The 16,684-nt window shown below is 38.8% G+C and overlaps 1 protein-coding gene across 28 annotated transcripts in view; it reads left to right on the forward strand.

Moving 5' to 3' along the window:
* SYTL5 (synaptotagmin like 5) overlaps positions 1 to 15,476 on the forward strand; it is a 239,906-nt gene extending 224,430 nt beyond the window's left edge. For 26 of the 28 annotated variants that reach the window (XM_017029972.1, XM_047442658.1, XM_011544001.3 and 23 more), the window contains 4 exons: positions 7,014 to 7,122; positions 8,736 to 8,871; positions 11,954 to 12,162; positions 13,244 to 15,476. In XM_017029972.1, coding sequence (XP_016885461.1) covers positions 7,014 to 7,122; positions 8,736 to 8,871; positions 11,954 to 12,162; positions 13,244 to 13,386 — 597 coding nt within the window. In that variant the 3' untranslated portion in view covers positions 13,387 to 15,476. The remainder of the gene's footprint in view (positions 1 to 7,013; positions 7,123 to 8,735; positions 8,872 to 11,953; positions 12,163 to 13,243) is intronic. The other 2 variants (NM_001163335.2, NM_138780.3) reach the window with 1 other exon arrangement.

Here is a 16,684-nt window from a genome sequence, read left to right on the forward strand (position 1 = left end):
CTCTTATTCTGCCTTCAGGTAGAGAGTAAATGTATGTTCCTTTGGAATTATACCTAGATTAAAGGCTCTCTCTTTTTTTGGCAGACTTTTGTCTGTAATTCCTTACTCTGTGTTACACCTGTAAATGCACTGGGAGTCTCTTTCTCACTCCGATGGAAAGTGGACCTCTCTTTTTTTCAGAAAGCAGGAGGTGGTGGGTGTCATCTGCTTATTTCACATCCATGCTCAGATAGTCTCAGTGGTTCCCTACTACTTTTGGATATGGTTTGAATAAATACTAACCCTCACCCTGGCACTCAGTGTTCTGTTGAATGGCCCAGCCTACTGTAGCAGCCAAAGATGTTAGTTCTCTACCCATCCCCGTTTTCTTGCAAACAGGGCTCCCCACTTCTTTCACTCCCACCAGCCAACCCCTGCCAATCATTGTAGGAGGGGAGCCTTCGGGCTGCTAGAGAGGGCTTGGTTTGCAGGCCAGAAAAGCCAACATAGCCTGGGTATTTAAGTCTCCTGGGGGTGAGCAGAGCCTTGATCAATGACTGGTGGATTAAGGAACGTCAATACTCCCACGTTCTTGCCTCTGATTGGAACAGCTCTGAAGTGTGATCTGTCACATCTCCAGAGTACCCCTATGGGACTTAACAACAGTTACTCTCCATGGAACTTTGCCTGAAATCACATCCTTAAGCCTCCTTCACTTTTGGTCCCCCTTCCCCAGTACCCTTCCTAATAAAATACTATAACTTAAATAAGTGCCTTAGCATCTTCTGGGAAACCCTGAGTTGACACCTTATTTTCATCCTCCTTGCTACTACCTCCCTGTACACACTCCCCTGATCACATTTGACTTCCTGTCAGTCCCTAAACATATTCTACACAACCCCCATCATATTTTACTCATACTGCTTTCTCAACCTGGACTAACCTTCCCAATCCATCTTCATCTGTCATCATGTCTCCCATCCTTTAAGGACCAGGTAAGAGCCACCTCTTTATCCCAATCTGGATTAATCTTTCTCTTCCCATAGTAGTTTCTTTTTACTTGTGTTGGAATAACTGTCACCATTTATCTTACATTGAACTTTCTGTATAGTAGAAACCCTCTTGCCCCAGAAATTACAACCAGTAGTAGGTCAGTTAATAGACAAAGTCACAGAAATCACCCACATACAAACACACACAATATATTTCTTTTATTTTTAATTATTTTGAATTGACACATAAAAATTGTATATATTTATCATGTAAAATATGGTTTCTAAATATGTATATATTATGGAATGGCTACATCAATCTAGTTAACATATATATTACTTCACATAACATACTTTTTTGTGGTCAGAACACATAAAATTTACTCTCAGCAATTTTCAAGAATACAAAACATTGTTATTATTAATAACTATGGTCACCATGTTATAAAATAGATTCCTCAAATTTATTCCTCTTATCTAGCTGACATTTTATTTTGTTAGGCCAGCATCTACCCAGTTCTCCCCACCCCCAGCCCCTGATAACCACCACTCTACTCTCTGCTTCTATTAATTCAACTATTTTAGATTCCACTATTTTAGATTTATATCTATTTTAGATATAAGTGAGGTCATGCAGTGTTCATCTTTCTGTGCCTGGCTTATTTTAATTAACATAATATCCTCCAGATTTATCCATGTTGTTGCAAATGCAAATGACAAGATTTTATTTTTTAAGGCTGAATAGTATTCCATTGTGTATATATACCATATTTTCTTTATCACTTCATCCATTGATGGACAATTAGGTTGTTTCTATATGTTGGCTATTGTGAATCACGCTGCAATGAGCATGGGAGTGTAGAGATCTCTTTAAGATACTTATTTCAGGCCGGGCGCGGTGGCTCACGCCTGTAATCCCAGCACTTTGGGAGGCCGAGGCGGGCGGATCACGAGGTCAGGAGATCGAGACCATCCTGGGTAACACAGTGAAACCCCGTCTCTACTAAAAATACAAAAAATTAGCCGGGCGTGGTAGCGGGCGCCTGTAGTCCCAGCTACTCGGGAGGCTGAGGCAGGAGAATGGCGTGAACCCGGGAGGCGGAGCTTGCAGTGAGCCGAGATCGCGCCACTGCACTCCAGCCTGGGCGACAGAGCGAGACTCCGTCTCAAAAAAAAAAAAAAAAAAAAAAAAAAAGATACTTATTTCAATTCCTTTGGCTATATATCTTGTAGTGGGATTGCTAGGTCATAAATATGGTAGTTCTATAACACTTACTATATTTAGTCTTTTTGATATTAGCCATTCTAACAGGTATGAGGTAATAGCTCATTGCAATTTTAATTTGCATTTCCCTGGTGATTAGCGATGTTGAGCATTTTGTCACACACTTTTGGCCATTTGTATGTCTTCTTTTGAGAGATGTCTGTTAAGATCCTTTCCCCATTATTTAATTGGATTATTTGTTTTCTTACTATTGAATTGCTTGAGTTCCTCATGTATCTTCGATATTAAATGATTTAACTTAAACTATATCAGATGTATGATTTGCAACTATTTTCTCTCATTCTGCAGATTGTCTCTTCACTCTGTCGATTGTTTTCTTTGCTCTGCAGAAGTTCAGTTTGAGGCAGTCCTATTTGCCTATTTTTGCTTTTGTTTCCTGTGCTTTTAGGGTCATATTCAAAAAAAAATTTCCCAGACCTATGTTGTGGAGCTTTTCCCCTATGTTTTTCCTAGTCGTTTTACAGTTTCAGGTCTCATGCTTAAGTCTTTAATCCACTTTGAGTTGATTTTTGTATATGGTGTGAGACAAGGGTCCAATTTCATTCTTCTGCATGTGGATATTCAGTTGTCCCAATACTGTTTATTAAAGAGACTGTCCTTTCCCCATTGTGTATTTTTGGCACTTTTGTTGAAAATCAATTGACCATAAATTTATTTCTGGACTCTCTATTATGTTCCATTGGTGTTATGTATCTGTTCTTATGCCAGTACCATGCTGTTTTGATTACTATAGTTTCCCAATGCATTTCTTAAACATTTATTTTTAACTTAAACCAAATAAATGTACGTTCATTTGCAAGTCTTCTGATATAGAGGCAATTAATTTTGTTTGAATTTCGTTCAGTAAGTAAAATTCTGCCATATATTCCTTGCATAAATTCTCCTCCTAATGCATCATCATCAGAAGATTCTAATTTGAGCTTTTCTCAAATGAAACAAGAACATAAGAATACTTTCAAAGTAAACAAAATGCAAATTCTTCTAAAAAATGTATGATTTTTTCTAACCTTTGATAGATTCAAGCCCACATATAATCCAATAGCAACTTTGTTTTCAAATCTTTAGTTCTTCTATTCAACTGAATTGTTATAGTAGCAGCTGTCTTTTTGCACTCATCAATTTATGTGACTTTAAACTATATAATTAAAATCACAAATATGCCTGGCCTAAAGAGCTTAGGGGACTAACTAATGCAGCTGACTCTCAGTGTGCATACAATTGAACTGATGGGAGCAGATGCATGTTCTTTGCAGAAAGGATTCTGCTATTCACGAGGGATGAAGAACACTAATTAAACTGATGAGTCAGCAGTTAACTAAGTGTGAATTAATAGATCCTGCTACTGCAAATATGTCTACTAGATAGACTGAAAACTCATTGAAAGCAGGGTCTGTCTTTTGTGTCCCCACAGCACTTAGCAAAATGCCTTATAAAAATGTAAGCATTCCATATGTGTTGGTAGAGTTGAATTGAATATGATTGGATTCTGCTAACTTTTTCTGAGTAATAGTGGGTTGGATAATGACAATGGTGGTATGCCAGGAGAGGGTGTTGCCTAGGAATTTCCTGGCAAAATATAAGTATCAAAAATACCCTAAGACATTAGACATGTGCAGGCTGCAATATGACTCCCCTGCTTTAATTTTTTATATGTGATTATAATGCTACAAGCTTCATCATTATTGTGTTTTCCTTTCATAAGACTTGAAGTCTATATTTATACGGGGTCTACAGTATATTTTAAGCTAAAAACCAATGGAACATTGGTAAGTCCCAATAATGCATGTTTTTGATCTCTGGTAGCACACTATATATTAGTATGTGATTCCTACACATATAACTTTTTCCTACTGGCGTATTTTCATACCCGAAGATCTCACTCAAAAAGCAAACACAGCCTGCTCTGGTTAACTATTGCTGTATGCCAAACTACCTTAAACCTTCGGGGCTTACAGCAAGAATTTATTCTCTCTCATGATTCTGTGGGTCGACTAGACTCATCTAGGTAGTTCTCACTTAGGGTTTCTGGCGCCACTGCAGCCAGATGGTTGACTGAGGCTGATGTCATCTGAAAGCTCAACTGCATTGATTGTTCGAGTTGGCTCACTTCCATGTCTTACACATGATGTTGACTGCTGGCTAGAAACTCAGCTAGGCCTGCCAGCTGGAGCACCTACATGCGGCTTCTCTCTGTGGCTTTAGCCTCTCTTAGTACGAGTTCCCAGAGGAAGCATTCGGAAATATCCATTCCAAGAAAGAAAAGTAGAAGCTGTCAATCTTAAGACCTGGACCCCAAAACTGGCACATTGTCACTTCTGCCATATTCTATAATACTAGTCAAAGCAATCACAGAGCCCACACAGACCCAAAGAGAGGTCACAAATACCCCATCTCTCATTGATGACGGTACCAAAAAAGTGGTAACCATCTTTAATCTGTCATAACATCCATTATAATTTTCTACTTATGATAGTCACCTAAACTAAAATTTACTGAGATTGTCAAAACAAAAAGAAGAGTCCAGTTACAAGGAACCTGATCTAAAATAATCAGATTAAATATTAGATGGATAGTCTATTTTACCATATAATCTCATTTTTGCCCCGGGTAAGAAGGTTGAATAAAATATTTCAAGCATTTTTCCCACCCTTACTAGTAAGTTTTACTACCACCAGCAGGAAAGAAAAGGGAAAGTCAGGCAAGGATTCCTTTTCTTTGTAACAGTCTCAGTATTTTTAATTTTTTTTTACTGTTTATTTGCTTATTTATGCCAAGTCTTGAACAGTCTCTGGCTTGGCTATGAATGAGCTAGGTTTCGGGACTCTCATTCTGCCCTCTCTGAGAGAGCAGTTCTCTGCTTTTGACTCAGAAGTCAGATCCCTAAAGGAAAAGCCTGACAAAGTATACTGCCTTTCCTGCTCTACCTGTGAAAGAACTCAAAGTTCAGTTGACTCAATGGCAAGTGGGAGACCTATAGAATAGAGGTTCTGGGTGCACGTGCACATTGACTTTCTTTAATTTAAACTTTATATTTTGAGATGATTATAAATCTACATGCAGTTACAAGAAATAATATGAAGAGATCCTATGTACCCAATACTTGATTTTCCCCAATGGTAACCTATAGCAAAGATGTACTATAATATCAAACCAGGTTTTGCTTATTTTTTTAGAGGCAGGGCCTCACTCTGTCATCCAGGCTGGAGTACTGTGGCACAATCATAGCTCATTATAATCTCAAATTTCTGGGCTCAAGCTATCCTCCCACCTCAGCCTCCCAAGTAGCTGGGACTACAGGTGCATGCCACCATGCCCAGCTAATATATATATATATATATATGTACGCATATACATATATATATATATATATATGTACGCATATACATATATATGTTGAGAGATAGGGTCTCACTGTGTTGCCCAGGCTGGTCTCAAACTCCTGGGCTCAAGCAATCCTCCCACCTAGGCCTCCCAAAATGCTGGGATTACAGGCATGAGCCACTACACCCAGCCACAACCAAGATATTGCCATTGATATGATTCACCAATTTTATTCAGAATTCCCAGTTTGGTACTCATTTGTGTGTGTGTGTGTGCACATGTGTGTGTATATTTCATCCTATGCAATTTTATCACCTTTATAGGTTTGTGTATCTACTACCACAGTCAAGGTACAGAACAGTTCTAATACCACATGTCCCTCAGGTTGACCTTTTATAACCACATCTAACTCCCTCCCACTACTCACATCCCTAACTTCTAGCAACCACTAATCTGTTCTCCATCTCTATAATTTTGTCATTTCAAGAATGTTACATAAATGAAATCATAAAGTATATGTCATTTTAAGACTGGCTTTTTTCACTCAGTATAATTCTCTAGAGATTCAACTTGTTGCATTTATCAATAGTCTATTCCATTTTTATTAATGGATAGTATTCCATCGTATGAATGTACCACAGTTTGTTTAACCATTCACCTGTTGAAGGAAATCCATGTGGTTTCCAGTTTTTACTATTACAAATAAAGCTGATACAAATATTCCTATACAAGTTTTGTGTGGATATAATGTTTTCATTTCTCTGGGATAAATGACCAAGAGTGCAATTTCTGGTTGGATGGTAGTTGCATGTTTAGTCTTACAAACAGTCTTACAAACTGTTTTCCAGAGTGACTCCACCATTCTACATTCCCACCAACAATGTTTGAGTGAACCACTTTCTCCATGTTGAATTTTGATTATATGAATTACCAACATTGCTTTTAACAGTTGATGGCTGGCAGCCCCATGTGAATCAAGCATTATTGCCTACTTTTCCATTCTTGATCACTTGGGAAAGACTTAAAAGACATCAAAGATGACAGGGAGAAGTAATTTCTGGAGGTATTTTCAGTGGCATTTTTATTCCTGCTTCTTCATATCCCAAACTATATATGTAAACTCAGTGATAGGTCCAGTCATCAATGCATCACAGGTGCTCAATATCTATTGACTGGCCAAATATAAGTTATATGTCTTCTTTCAAATTTCTTTTACTTAAATGTTAAAAGTTATATGCAAATGCCTTCATAGAGTTTTCCAGCCTTTGTTTTCTCTTACCTCAGTCATCTCTTAAACCAGTGAGAGCGAACAGAGTTGAAATGAGAATGGATTGTCACATTTATGCCACTAAGTAAATATTGCACATTCAAATGTGGACTACAATACTAAGCCAATCATCCATACTCTTTCAACTTACTTGTTTCTCCTTGGCCAGGTGGAGTTTGCTCCTGATATTGGCCTTCAATACAAAGGAGAGCTGACAGTTGTTTTACGTTACATTCCCCCAGAAGAGAACCTGATGCTTCCACCAGAACAACTCCAAGGTAGAGTAAAAATCAATGACTTTGATCAATGACATTCTGTTTCTAGAAGTGTGGTAGTGGGACTCAGGGATTGGTTGCATTATATTTCTTTCATATTACACAAACAAAACATAAAGGGTTTGGTGTCACTGTCTTTTGGGGAGAGTTGAGATGTGTATACCGTATATATAGAAGAATGCAGGACTCTTACAAGGAATCCTTGTAAGATTCATACTTAGAAACCAGCCTTGGTGGTCAGTTTTGTTTTATGTCCCAAAGATATAGGATCTTCCCCCAGGGTTGGGGGAAGGCAGGCTGCTGGAGGCAAGTATAGGAAACTGCTCCATGGATTTATGACATTCACAGCTATTCAGGGAGTCTTGAGGAAGAAGTTGATCTAGAACACAGGATTTAAAGGAAAAAATCAGATGGAATCAATTTATAAATCTCTCTTCCCCTTTGTATTAAGCTGTTTTTGCATTGCTATAAGAAATACCAAGACTAGGTAATGTATAAAGAAAAGAGGTTTAATTTGCTCATGGTTCTGCAGGCTATGTAGGAAGCATAAAACAGGCATCTGTGTCTGAGGAGGCCTCAGGAAGCTTACAATTATGGCAGAAGGTGAAGGTGGAGCAGGTGTCTCACATGACAGGAGCAGGAACAAGAGAAAGAGAGAAGGTGCCACATACTTTTAAACAACCAGCTCTCACAGGAATTCACTCACTATCATGAGGACAGCACCAAGGGGACGGTGCAAAACCACTCATGAGAAATCCACCCCATGATCCAATCACCTCGCACCAGGCCCCACCTCCAATAGTGGGGATTACATTTCAACATGGGATTTGGGTGAGGATAACATCCAAACTATCTTGCCCTTCTTTTACCATCAATTCTTGCAGGCAGCCTCCTCTGTCCTCCCATTCACTATTACTCTTTTCAGTGTGACCCTGTGCAAGTAACTCACTATCACCTGACCTCAATTTCCTCACTTCAAAGGGCTGTTGTGAAGAATAAACAGGTTCATATATGTAAGGTGCTTAAAACAATACTAAATAAAGGTGCTGGTTGTGATACTGGTTTATATCATTCATGTTGAATGTATTTCATAAGAAAAGAAAAGTGAGGTGGAAAAGAGATTTCTCTCACCCTAAAACGTAACTGTGTTTGGGCTGTAGCCTCTAGAGCTGGCTCTGACTAAAACTGACTATTTGTAAGACTAAAATATCAAAGGGAGTTATTGAATTTTCTCTTTTTGAGTTTTGGTGCATGTATATTGTCTTCATCATAGTTATTTCTCACTAAGAGCAGGAATGGTGCTCCGGGAAACTCTTAGGCATTCCATGCCTTTATACCCTGTGAAAAGATATGCTTTGTAAGGGAGTGTTTAAAGTTTTAAATTTATTTCTTCATTTGTTTCAACAAATACAAATGAAAGACCTATCTGGAAGGAATCCAATGGGGGCAAAAATGTTTAAATGAATAAAAATATACAATAATGTAAAGGCCCAAATTAGTCAGCAAATGAAATATATGTTTGTAGATGATCTTTGTAAATTTTGAAATGGAACTCATGATTTATCTATTTTTTTTTCTCTTTCTCCACCATTCCCTCATTTTGGTGGCTGACACAGGAAATAAGACTTTTAAAAAGGGAAAGAAGAAGGAGTCACCTGTAATCTCTGGAGGAATACTAGAAGTGTTCATCAAAGAGGCAAAGAATTTGACAGCAGTGAAGTCAGGAGGCACTTCTGATAGCTTTGTGAAGGGGTAACTTTGTTTTAGCTCTTTTTGGATGATACTTAATAGGAGATGAAAGGATCTGTGATCCACAAGCCACTGGTGGCTGTGAGCCTTCCGTGTTCTGTTTACTAGAAGTGTATGGGTGAGAACTACCCTTACATGCTGGCTCTTACATCTAAAATAACACAAGTGTTGAGGGAACTGCTGATTCTAGCTGTCACTCTGTTTCCAACATATTTCAGGAATTCCCATCACTCTTACTCTCAAGACAGTCAACTTTTTTCTGTAAGATTCATTTATCGAAAGTGGACAAAAGTATGATTTCCTATGTATAATGTATTTATATTGTTCTTTATTATCATTTTGTCCTGGCAATATGCAACAATCACCAAAATATCAGATCCTTGATATTTTTCTCTCTTGGGGGAAATTGTAAAAAGTAGAGATGTCAGAGCATCCTTGCTGGACTTATTCACTGTCGAGTGCTTTGGAGAGGCTCCAAGACCACCTGCTAGGCATTTGTGCCCAAGTTGTGGAGCAAAGGGCAGCTTCCTGAGGGAATGCAGCCTTAAAATGGATACTTTTGCCTAACTCTAGGCAACTCAAACATCAAATCCCTTTTGATTCCTGACTACTGGATATTTTTCTCTTGGAAATTGAGAAACTAAGACTGCAAGGTTATTTTTCAGTCATTCAAACAAACACAAAATGCACATGTGCCAAGCACCAGGTGCTATGCTTTCAAAAATAAATAACATATTATCCCTGCCCTCATGGAACTCCGTAAAGCACATAAGGTAAAACAAATTCCCATGATGCCAGACCATGAGGTTCATTCTTTGAGTCGGATGGCAATATTGTTCCTCTTCACATGCTGTATTGGAAAAGAGTATTTTTTCCTACAAGGAAATGGGTTGAGCTCACTCTCACATGTTATTTGTTGTTGTTGTTTGTTTTTGTTTTTGTTTTGAGACAGAGTTTCACTCTGTTGCCCAGGCTGGAGTGCAGTGGTGCCATCTCGGCTCACTGCAACCTCCGCTTCCCAGGTTCAAGTGATTCTCATATCTCAGTCTCCTGAGTAGCTGGGATTACAGGTATTTTTATTTTTATTTTTATTTTTAGTAGAGACAGGGTTTCACCACATTGGCCAGGCTGGTCTTGAACTCCTGACCTCAAGTGATCTGCCTGCCTCGGCCTCCCAAAGTGCTGGGATTACAGGCATGAGCCACCGTGCCTGGCCACATGTTCTAACTTTGGTAAAGCTAGTAGTGGGGAGAAGCAGTTCTGGGGCCTCCCCATTGGTGAGTGTGTATGCCTGAATCCTGGCACATCTTCCCTTCACTCTTCCTTGCAGTAGATTTAAGCATAGAAGAAATGCTTTCTTTGGATACTGCAGTTACAATTTGTGTCATTAGCCCTACCATCCAGTTTAAGCTTCTGCTGCTGGAATGAGGAGATGACTCCCAACCCGTGGCCACATTGTGACCTTGCAACGGTACTTGACATCTTCTGGAGCAGTATTCACTTTATCTTGTGGAAAATGTATAAAGCAGAAATAATAAAAGACAGTATTTTTGTTCTAGAAAGAAAAACAAAAGCCAATAACTTTCCGGTAAATTCTGTCTATAATAATACTTAAATATTAGGCTGATTCTAAAAAGACATGAGATTTTTTTAAAAGACAGTGAGGGAGCAAGAATAGACCCTCTGTAAAGTTTAATAATATAAAATATATCCATTAACATTAGGTCGGTCTGTGAGCCAAAAGAACAGTGGCTTAAACAAGACAAGTTTTTTTTCTCTCTTACATGTAAACAAAGACTGAAGGTAAGGTCCCCAGTGCAGGTATGGAAGCATCATGATTATCAGGGACCCAGGATTTTTCCATCTCGTTATGGTATCCACCTAATGGGTTAGGATAGCTGCTCCTGTTTCAGCTATCCCACACAAATTCCAGCTGACAGGACACTTTCCAGATGTAAGAAGTAGTTTTATCAGCACTACTTCTTATATCCCATTGGCCAGAACTCAGTCACATGGCTATTCCAGCTGCAAGGGAGGTTGGGAAATGTAGTCTTTATTCTGGGCAACACTGTGCTCAAATAAAAACACAGTTTTTTAGAGGAATATAAGGAGAGAATGGATATTAGGAGATAATAAGCAGTCTTTGCTTGGTACATGAAATTAAATCTTAAGTGACTTAATGTATCTTCTTTATTGTAAAGTCATTTGCTTGTAGCACTTTTCGTTTTTGTTCCATGTACTAATTCCATATGTACATATGTCTTCTTTTCTAAAGTATGCTCCCTGAAGGGGGAAAACAGCCATTTTTATCACATACCTAGAGCCTCATACAGTGTTTTGACCATAGTCGAGAAAACCTAGGATACAGGCGTTTTATTTGAAGACAAATTTCAGGAAACACCAGTGAGGAAGTGGAGAAAATGAAACAAGGAAGAAAGAGAAGTTGATTAAAACATATGTTAATGGGCAGGTTACCACTGTGGGCAACTGGAGCATGATTCCACTAGGGAAGCAGTGAGGAACTCTGTGGAATATACCTTAGGATTGTCACTTTGAGGGACAGGGAAGATGGGGAAATTATCCACCAATTTCTCAAACTCATCAGTTAAAAGTTGCCCCAGGGGTATTAAATTCCAAGTAATCCCAGAGTTTCCTACACATAAGCTGAGCCAGCTAACACAATATCAGATAAATTCCTTAATTAGAGGAATTTATTCCTTGTATCAAGAGACACAAGCACTTGAGGTGGGAAGCTGAAAGTATATCAGGAACTTCCCATCCTGGCTGCAAGTCAGCTCCAAGGAGGCCAAAAAGATTTGAAGCAAGGCATTCAATAGTGTCTATTACAGGAGGTATTTTCTTTTCAAGATGGAAGGAAGGACCTAAATAAGATTAGAAAGGAGAGTGAGGGCATTTTACTAATGTCCCACTGGGAAGAAATAATAAGTCAGTTCACTATATAAATCCAGATTTAAGCATATAGAAGCCTGGGAAGGAAAATCAAATAGACACATCACACTTGTGTACACGCTGACATTTTCTGTCTGCTGTCTTATTGATGATTTGATTGTTTTTTCTCATGCAGCTACCTGCTCCCTGATGATAGCAAAGCCACCAAGCACAAAACTCTGGTAATAAAAAAGAGTGTTAACCCTCAGTGGAATCATACATTCATGTTCAGTGGCATCCATCCCCAGGATATAAAGAATGTTTGCCTAGAACTTACTATCTGGGACAAGGAGGCCTTTTCCAGCAACATCTTTCTGGGAGGAGTTCGTTTGAATTCTGGAAGTGGTGAGGGATTTGGGGACCCACAGGGATGGTCTGTGACTAGGCCCAGGTGGGGGCGCTATTCTTGCAGATGTGATGTGCAGTGGATGTATATATATAGTTTCAGCTAAATCCTGAAATTACCACAAATACTTCATTCCTTTAGCTAAGGATCTATTCATTGTTAAAATACAAATATAACTACAGTAACTTTGTATCCTTAGGCTAGAAGATTGGAAGATATCATATTTATATTCAATCCTTTCATAGACTAGCATTTACACCTTAGTCTAAGTGAATTGTAAGTACTTTCTTGGGCCTTGCTTCATATTTTGCTCAGGGGATGATTACCAAGACAGCATAGGCTTCTGATGGGAGGAGAGCGACTTTCAAGACCAACATTACTTCATCATCTTCTCAGTTCTGTCCAGCACTTGCAGCTATTATTCATACTGGTTGAATTGAAAGGAAATCATTTTTTCATAAAAATAACACCAGTATTGTTAAAAACAGATCAAGGAAACCCACCACTGGTGCCACAAGACGCAACTGTAACAGGGTGAATTGGAAGAGGGATTACAGTAGTAGAGCACGTGCATTCCCCTAACTCTCATTATCCCATAGCCTAAGCCAGACATAGATGAGACCATCAGCATACACCATGGTAAACATTTCTGTTGAGGAAGGTCCTATCACTATGATAATTACTTATTTATAGATTAAGGGGAGCCAAAAATATCTATACCACTAAAAGGAAAACTCCCCAGGTCAGAAAAGTGCCCTTGTTAGAAAAAGAGAGCCAAATTCATCCCATTCTTCTGTCATGTTAGCACAGTCCAGATGAACCAGCTCTCTGCTAAAGTAGGGAGGAAGTGAGTCACCAGGGCCACCCCGATTTGCCTCATATGGCCTAGGCATTAGAGAATAGTGCAGGCTGAAATGATTGATTGATTCAATTCTAACACCACTCACTATATATACTAAGTGAGAACAAGCCAGTAAAAGGTACTCTGGTGAAAAGGCCTGCTCAGAAGTTGATAGATACCTTGCAGGAGAGCAAAGCATTTCATGTGTGACATAAAATTTTCCCGTTTCGCCTCTTCAGGTGTGAGCCATGGGAAGAACGTGGATTGGATGGACTCTCAGGGGGAAGAGCAGCGCCTTTGGCAGAAGATGGCCAACAACCCTGGAACTCCCTTTGAGGGTGTACTCATGCTTCGTTCCAGCATGGGAAAATGTAGGCTCTAAAGGGACCAGTTCTCCAAGAATGAGGCCACCAGGACCTATCTGGCTGTCTTTTCCTACCATTAGCAAACTGAGACCTGGGATTCTGCTTCCCTGCCATTTCTCACCTGACAGTGTTGGGACATGAGGGGAGAGATGTCAGTAGTATGAACATTTAGGGTCTTGCTGAGTGCCTAAAAAACATATATTTCCATCCAATCAAGGCCTTCTTGATTGGATGATAGAAAGTGTACTACTTGTCCTGTCAACAAGCAAATTGTGCAAAGGCTTATAGGGTTTATGCCATAAAAGAAATGGCACAAGCCTCCATTTGCTAATTATAAGTTACTTTAGATTTCCTCAAATCCTTTGAAGAGAAAGAGGACCACTGAGAAGGTAGATCACTTGAAAAGTCAGAAGAAAGGATACTGGCCAACTTTTACTCACCCTAGGAATCCACATGATCTCAAGAAGGCATGGTGGAGATGGTTGCTTGAGCAAGGGGATTGTCCTGTTATTGCAGCAAACTTGTGGATTAACCAAGTAGTATTTCAAGATGGATTGACAGGGCTTTCTATGATTACTATAGAATTTATCATCTAAATCAGTTTACTTTTTAGAACAAAGAGAGCTAAATAACTACATCAGAACGATTGATGTTGATTAGAATTGACCTGGGAAAATTGGGATGTAGGGTCACCCTACTGATGACCTAAGAGAGCTCTGTTTTAAACATTTATTTTATAAAATGTTCTAAGCCATTAACTAAAAGGAAATGAGATATAATGGTCAATTGATATACCTTTTCACATTGTGTTCACTGACGAGACTAGTTTAATGAAAAAGGAGGTACTCTACCTGCTATTTTACTTCTGTTCCTCTTCTGCCCTGTTATGGGAGAGAATCAAAGACTCCATCTGCTCTCTTCCCCCTTGTTTTCTCCTTCACTGAGTTTTTCTTATCTCCTTTTGCAGTGGTTAACTATTGTCACAATAATGCTGAATGAAAAAACACACCAAATGTCAGTGGCTTAAAATGACCATCCTTTTTCTCACAGTTATGAAGATTGGCTATGGCACCTCTGCTTCCTGCTATAGGCCTGAGGTTCTAGGGCTTCTTATGCCTCATCCTCTTTAAGCCAAAGGGATAGCCAGAGCATCTTGATGGCAGAAGTGCAATAAGATGAGCCCCACTGCTCGGGTACATTTTCAGCCCCTGGTTGTGTCATGTCTACTGATATCTCATTGGTCAAAGGAAGTCAGAGGGCCAAGATGAAGAGGCAGGGAAATATGCACTGCCCACAGTGAAGCCATGACAAGAGTGAGGATGCAGGAAGGCATGAAGAATTGGGGCCAACAGTTCAATCTACCATACCTTCTCTCACCTGGAATTCCAGATGCTTGAGCTACGAAACTTAGATGCAAAGAAAGTTAAAGCTAGAAGGAACCTCAGGCCCAGTTGCTCATTTTGCAGATTCCAAATGTGAATTTCAGAGAGCTGAGATAACTTGCCCAAGGCCATATAGAGGCTGTGACTAAATCTGGACTTAAATCCAGACTATCAATCTTAGGCCAGTGTTCTTTTTTCAATATAGTCCTTGGCATAATGCTATGCTTATTAGGTAGATAAAAGGGCTTATGTCAAGAAATTTGGAGCAGAGTCTGATTACTTGAGCATGAACATACCCGACCAAGGTATGTTCTGGAGTCATATTCTAGCCTCTGAGCTCATTTTTTCATGCGAGTTCATATAAAATCCTCGAAAGTTTAGAAACTAGGTTTTAGTAGTAACGGAGCTAGAATCATCTTCGGGCTTATTCCTGCTAGTTGTTCCATATTTCTAGATTTCATCTTGAATTTTGAAAACTGATTTAAGAATATATTTAGTATTATTATTAGTAAGGGAATACGCAATCCAGTTTCAATTTTATTCAGAAGTAGGTCACCTAATTCTAGAAAATGGTTATTAGTCTAGTGTCGCTTAGCAAGGTACTTAAAAGAAAATCTGCACATATCCTTGTGCTGCCCTTCTTAAAAACAGAAAACAAAAAGTGTAAGATCATCATTGCTTCCCACATAGGAAAAATAAAATGTCTTCAGACTTGATGTGACTCATTCTGTCTTCAGTTACATTTTTAGGGGAGGTAAGAGGGTGGTGATGGTGAAGTCTGGAAACATCTCTGGTATAGACACAACGAAGTGGATTTATTCATTAATAATAAATATGAAAAAATAATAAATTTTAAAATTTATAACTTGAACTCAAGAAGAGCATGAACTTTATGTGTTCAGATCTTTGCCACACGTAGAGCAACTCTCTGTATCATGGTTTCATAAAATCCAACATCTAACTAGGTATTCCCATAATGCAAAACTTAAGTATGCAAAAATCCATCAGAAACCTATTGGTGTTGCTCTTGGAAATAAAAGGCAAAAGTATGGTCTAGAACTACAAATAGTATTTTTAAATATAGGTAATGCATGTGAATAGCACAGAATTCAAATAGTTCAAAATTGTGAAAAGTTAAGTCTTCCTCTCTCCTCTTCCATATCAGAAAATATTGACTGTCTCATTCTTCTTTATGGCTACAAGATATTAAATTATAGGGATGTATCAAATTTATTTAACCAGTCCAACCCACTACCACATTAAATATGGTTAACCAAGCTATCTATATTTAATGGCTTTTCTAAGCAAACTTTTCCTTCAAAGAATAAACACTTTGAAATTCAAAATGAGGTATAAATCTTACCCAACCATTCCACTTCTGAGTATTTTTCTTACAGAGGTAAGTGCATATATGAGAAATGAGTACATACAAGGATATTTATTGAAAGAGATTGGAAACAATCCAAAAGCCCATCAATAAAGGCCTTGTATAATATCACATGACCCTGATTTTCTGCTTCACAAGTCACTGCTTCATCTTTGTCTTTACTCATTCTCTACAAAACTATTAAAAATTGGATTATTCAGTGCTCAGTTCTTTTCTCCTCACTTTATACAGCCTTCTAGGCATTATCATGTACTGTACTCTCAAGGTTTCATACACTTTTCACTTCCAACTCACATCTCTAACCCAGACCCTTCCTGTCAGCCCCAGACCCAGATCTAACTGCCCATATGACATCTCCACCAGGATACTTCATATTTTCAACATATTAAAAACTGTACCCTTCGTTTCAGTCTCCCTCGCACCCATGTCTTCCTGCACCAGCGTGCCCTATCTCTGTACCTGGTACCTTCATCCACCCAGTAACAGTAACCAGACACCTGGTATTGATCTTTGGTTTCTGCCTCTTTCTTATCCTGAGGCAAAAAT

This window comes from Homo sapiens, chromosome X (assembly GCF_000001405.40).
Source record: "Homo sapiens chromosome X, GRCh38.p14 Primary Assembly".
NCBI lineage: Eukaryota > Metazoa > Chordata > Mammalia > Primates > Hominidae > Homo > Homo sapiens.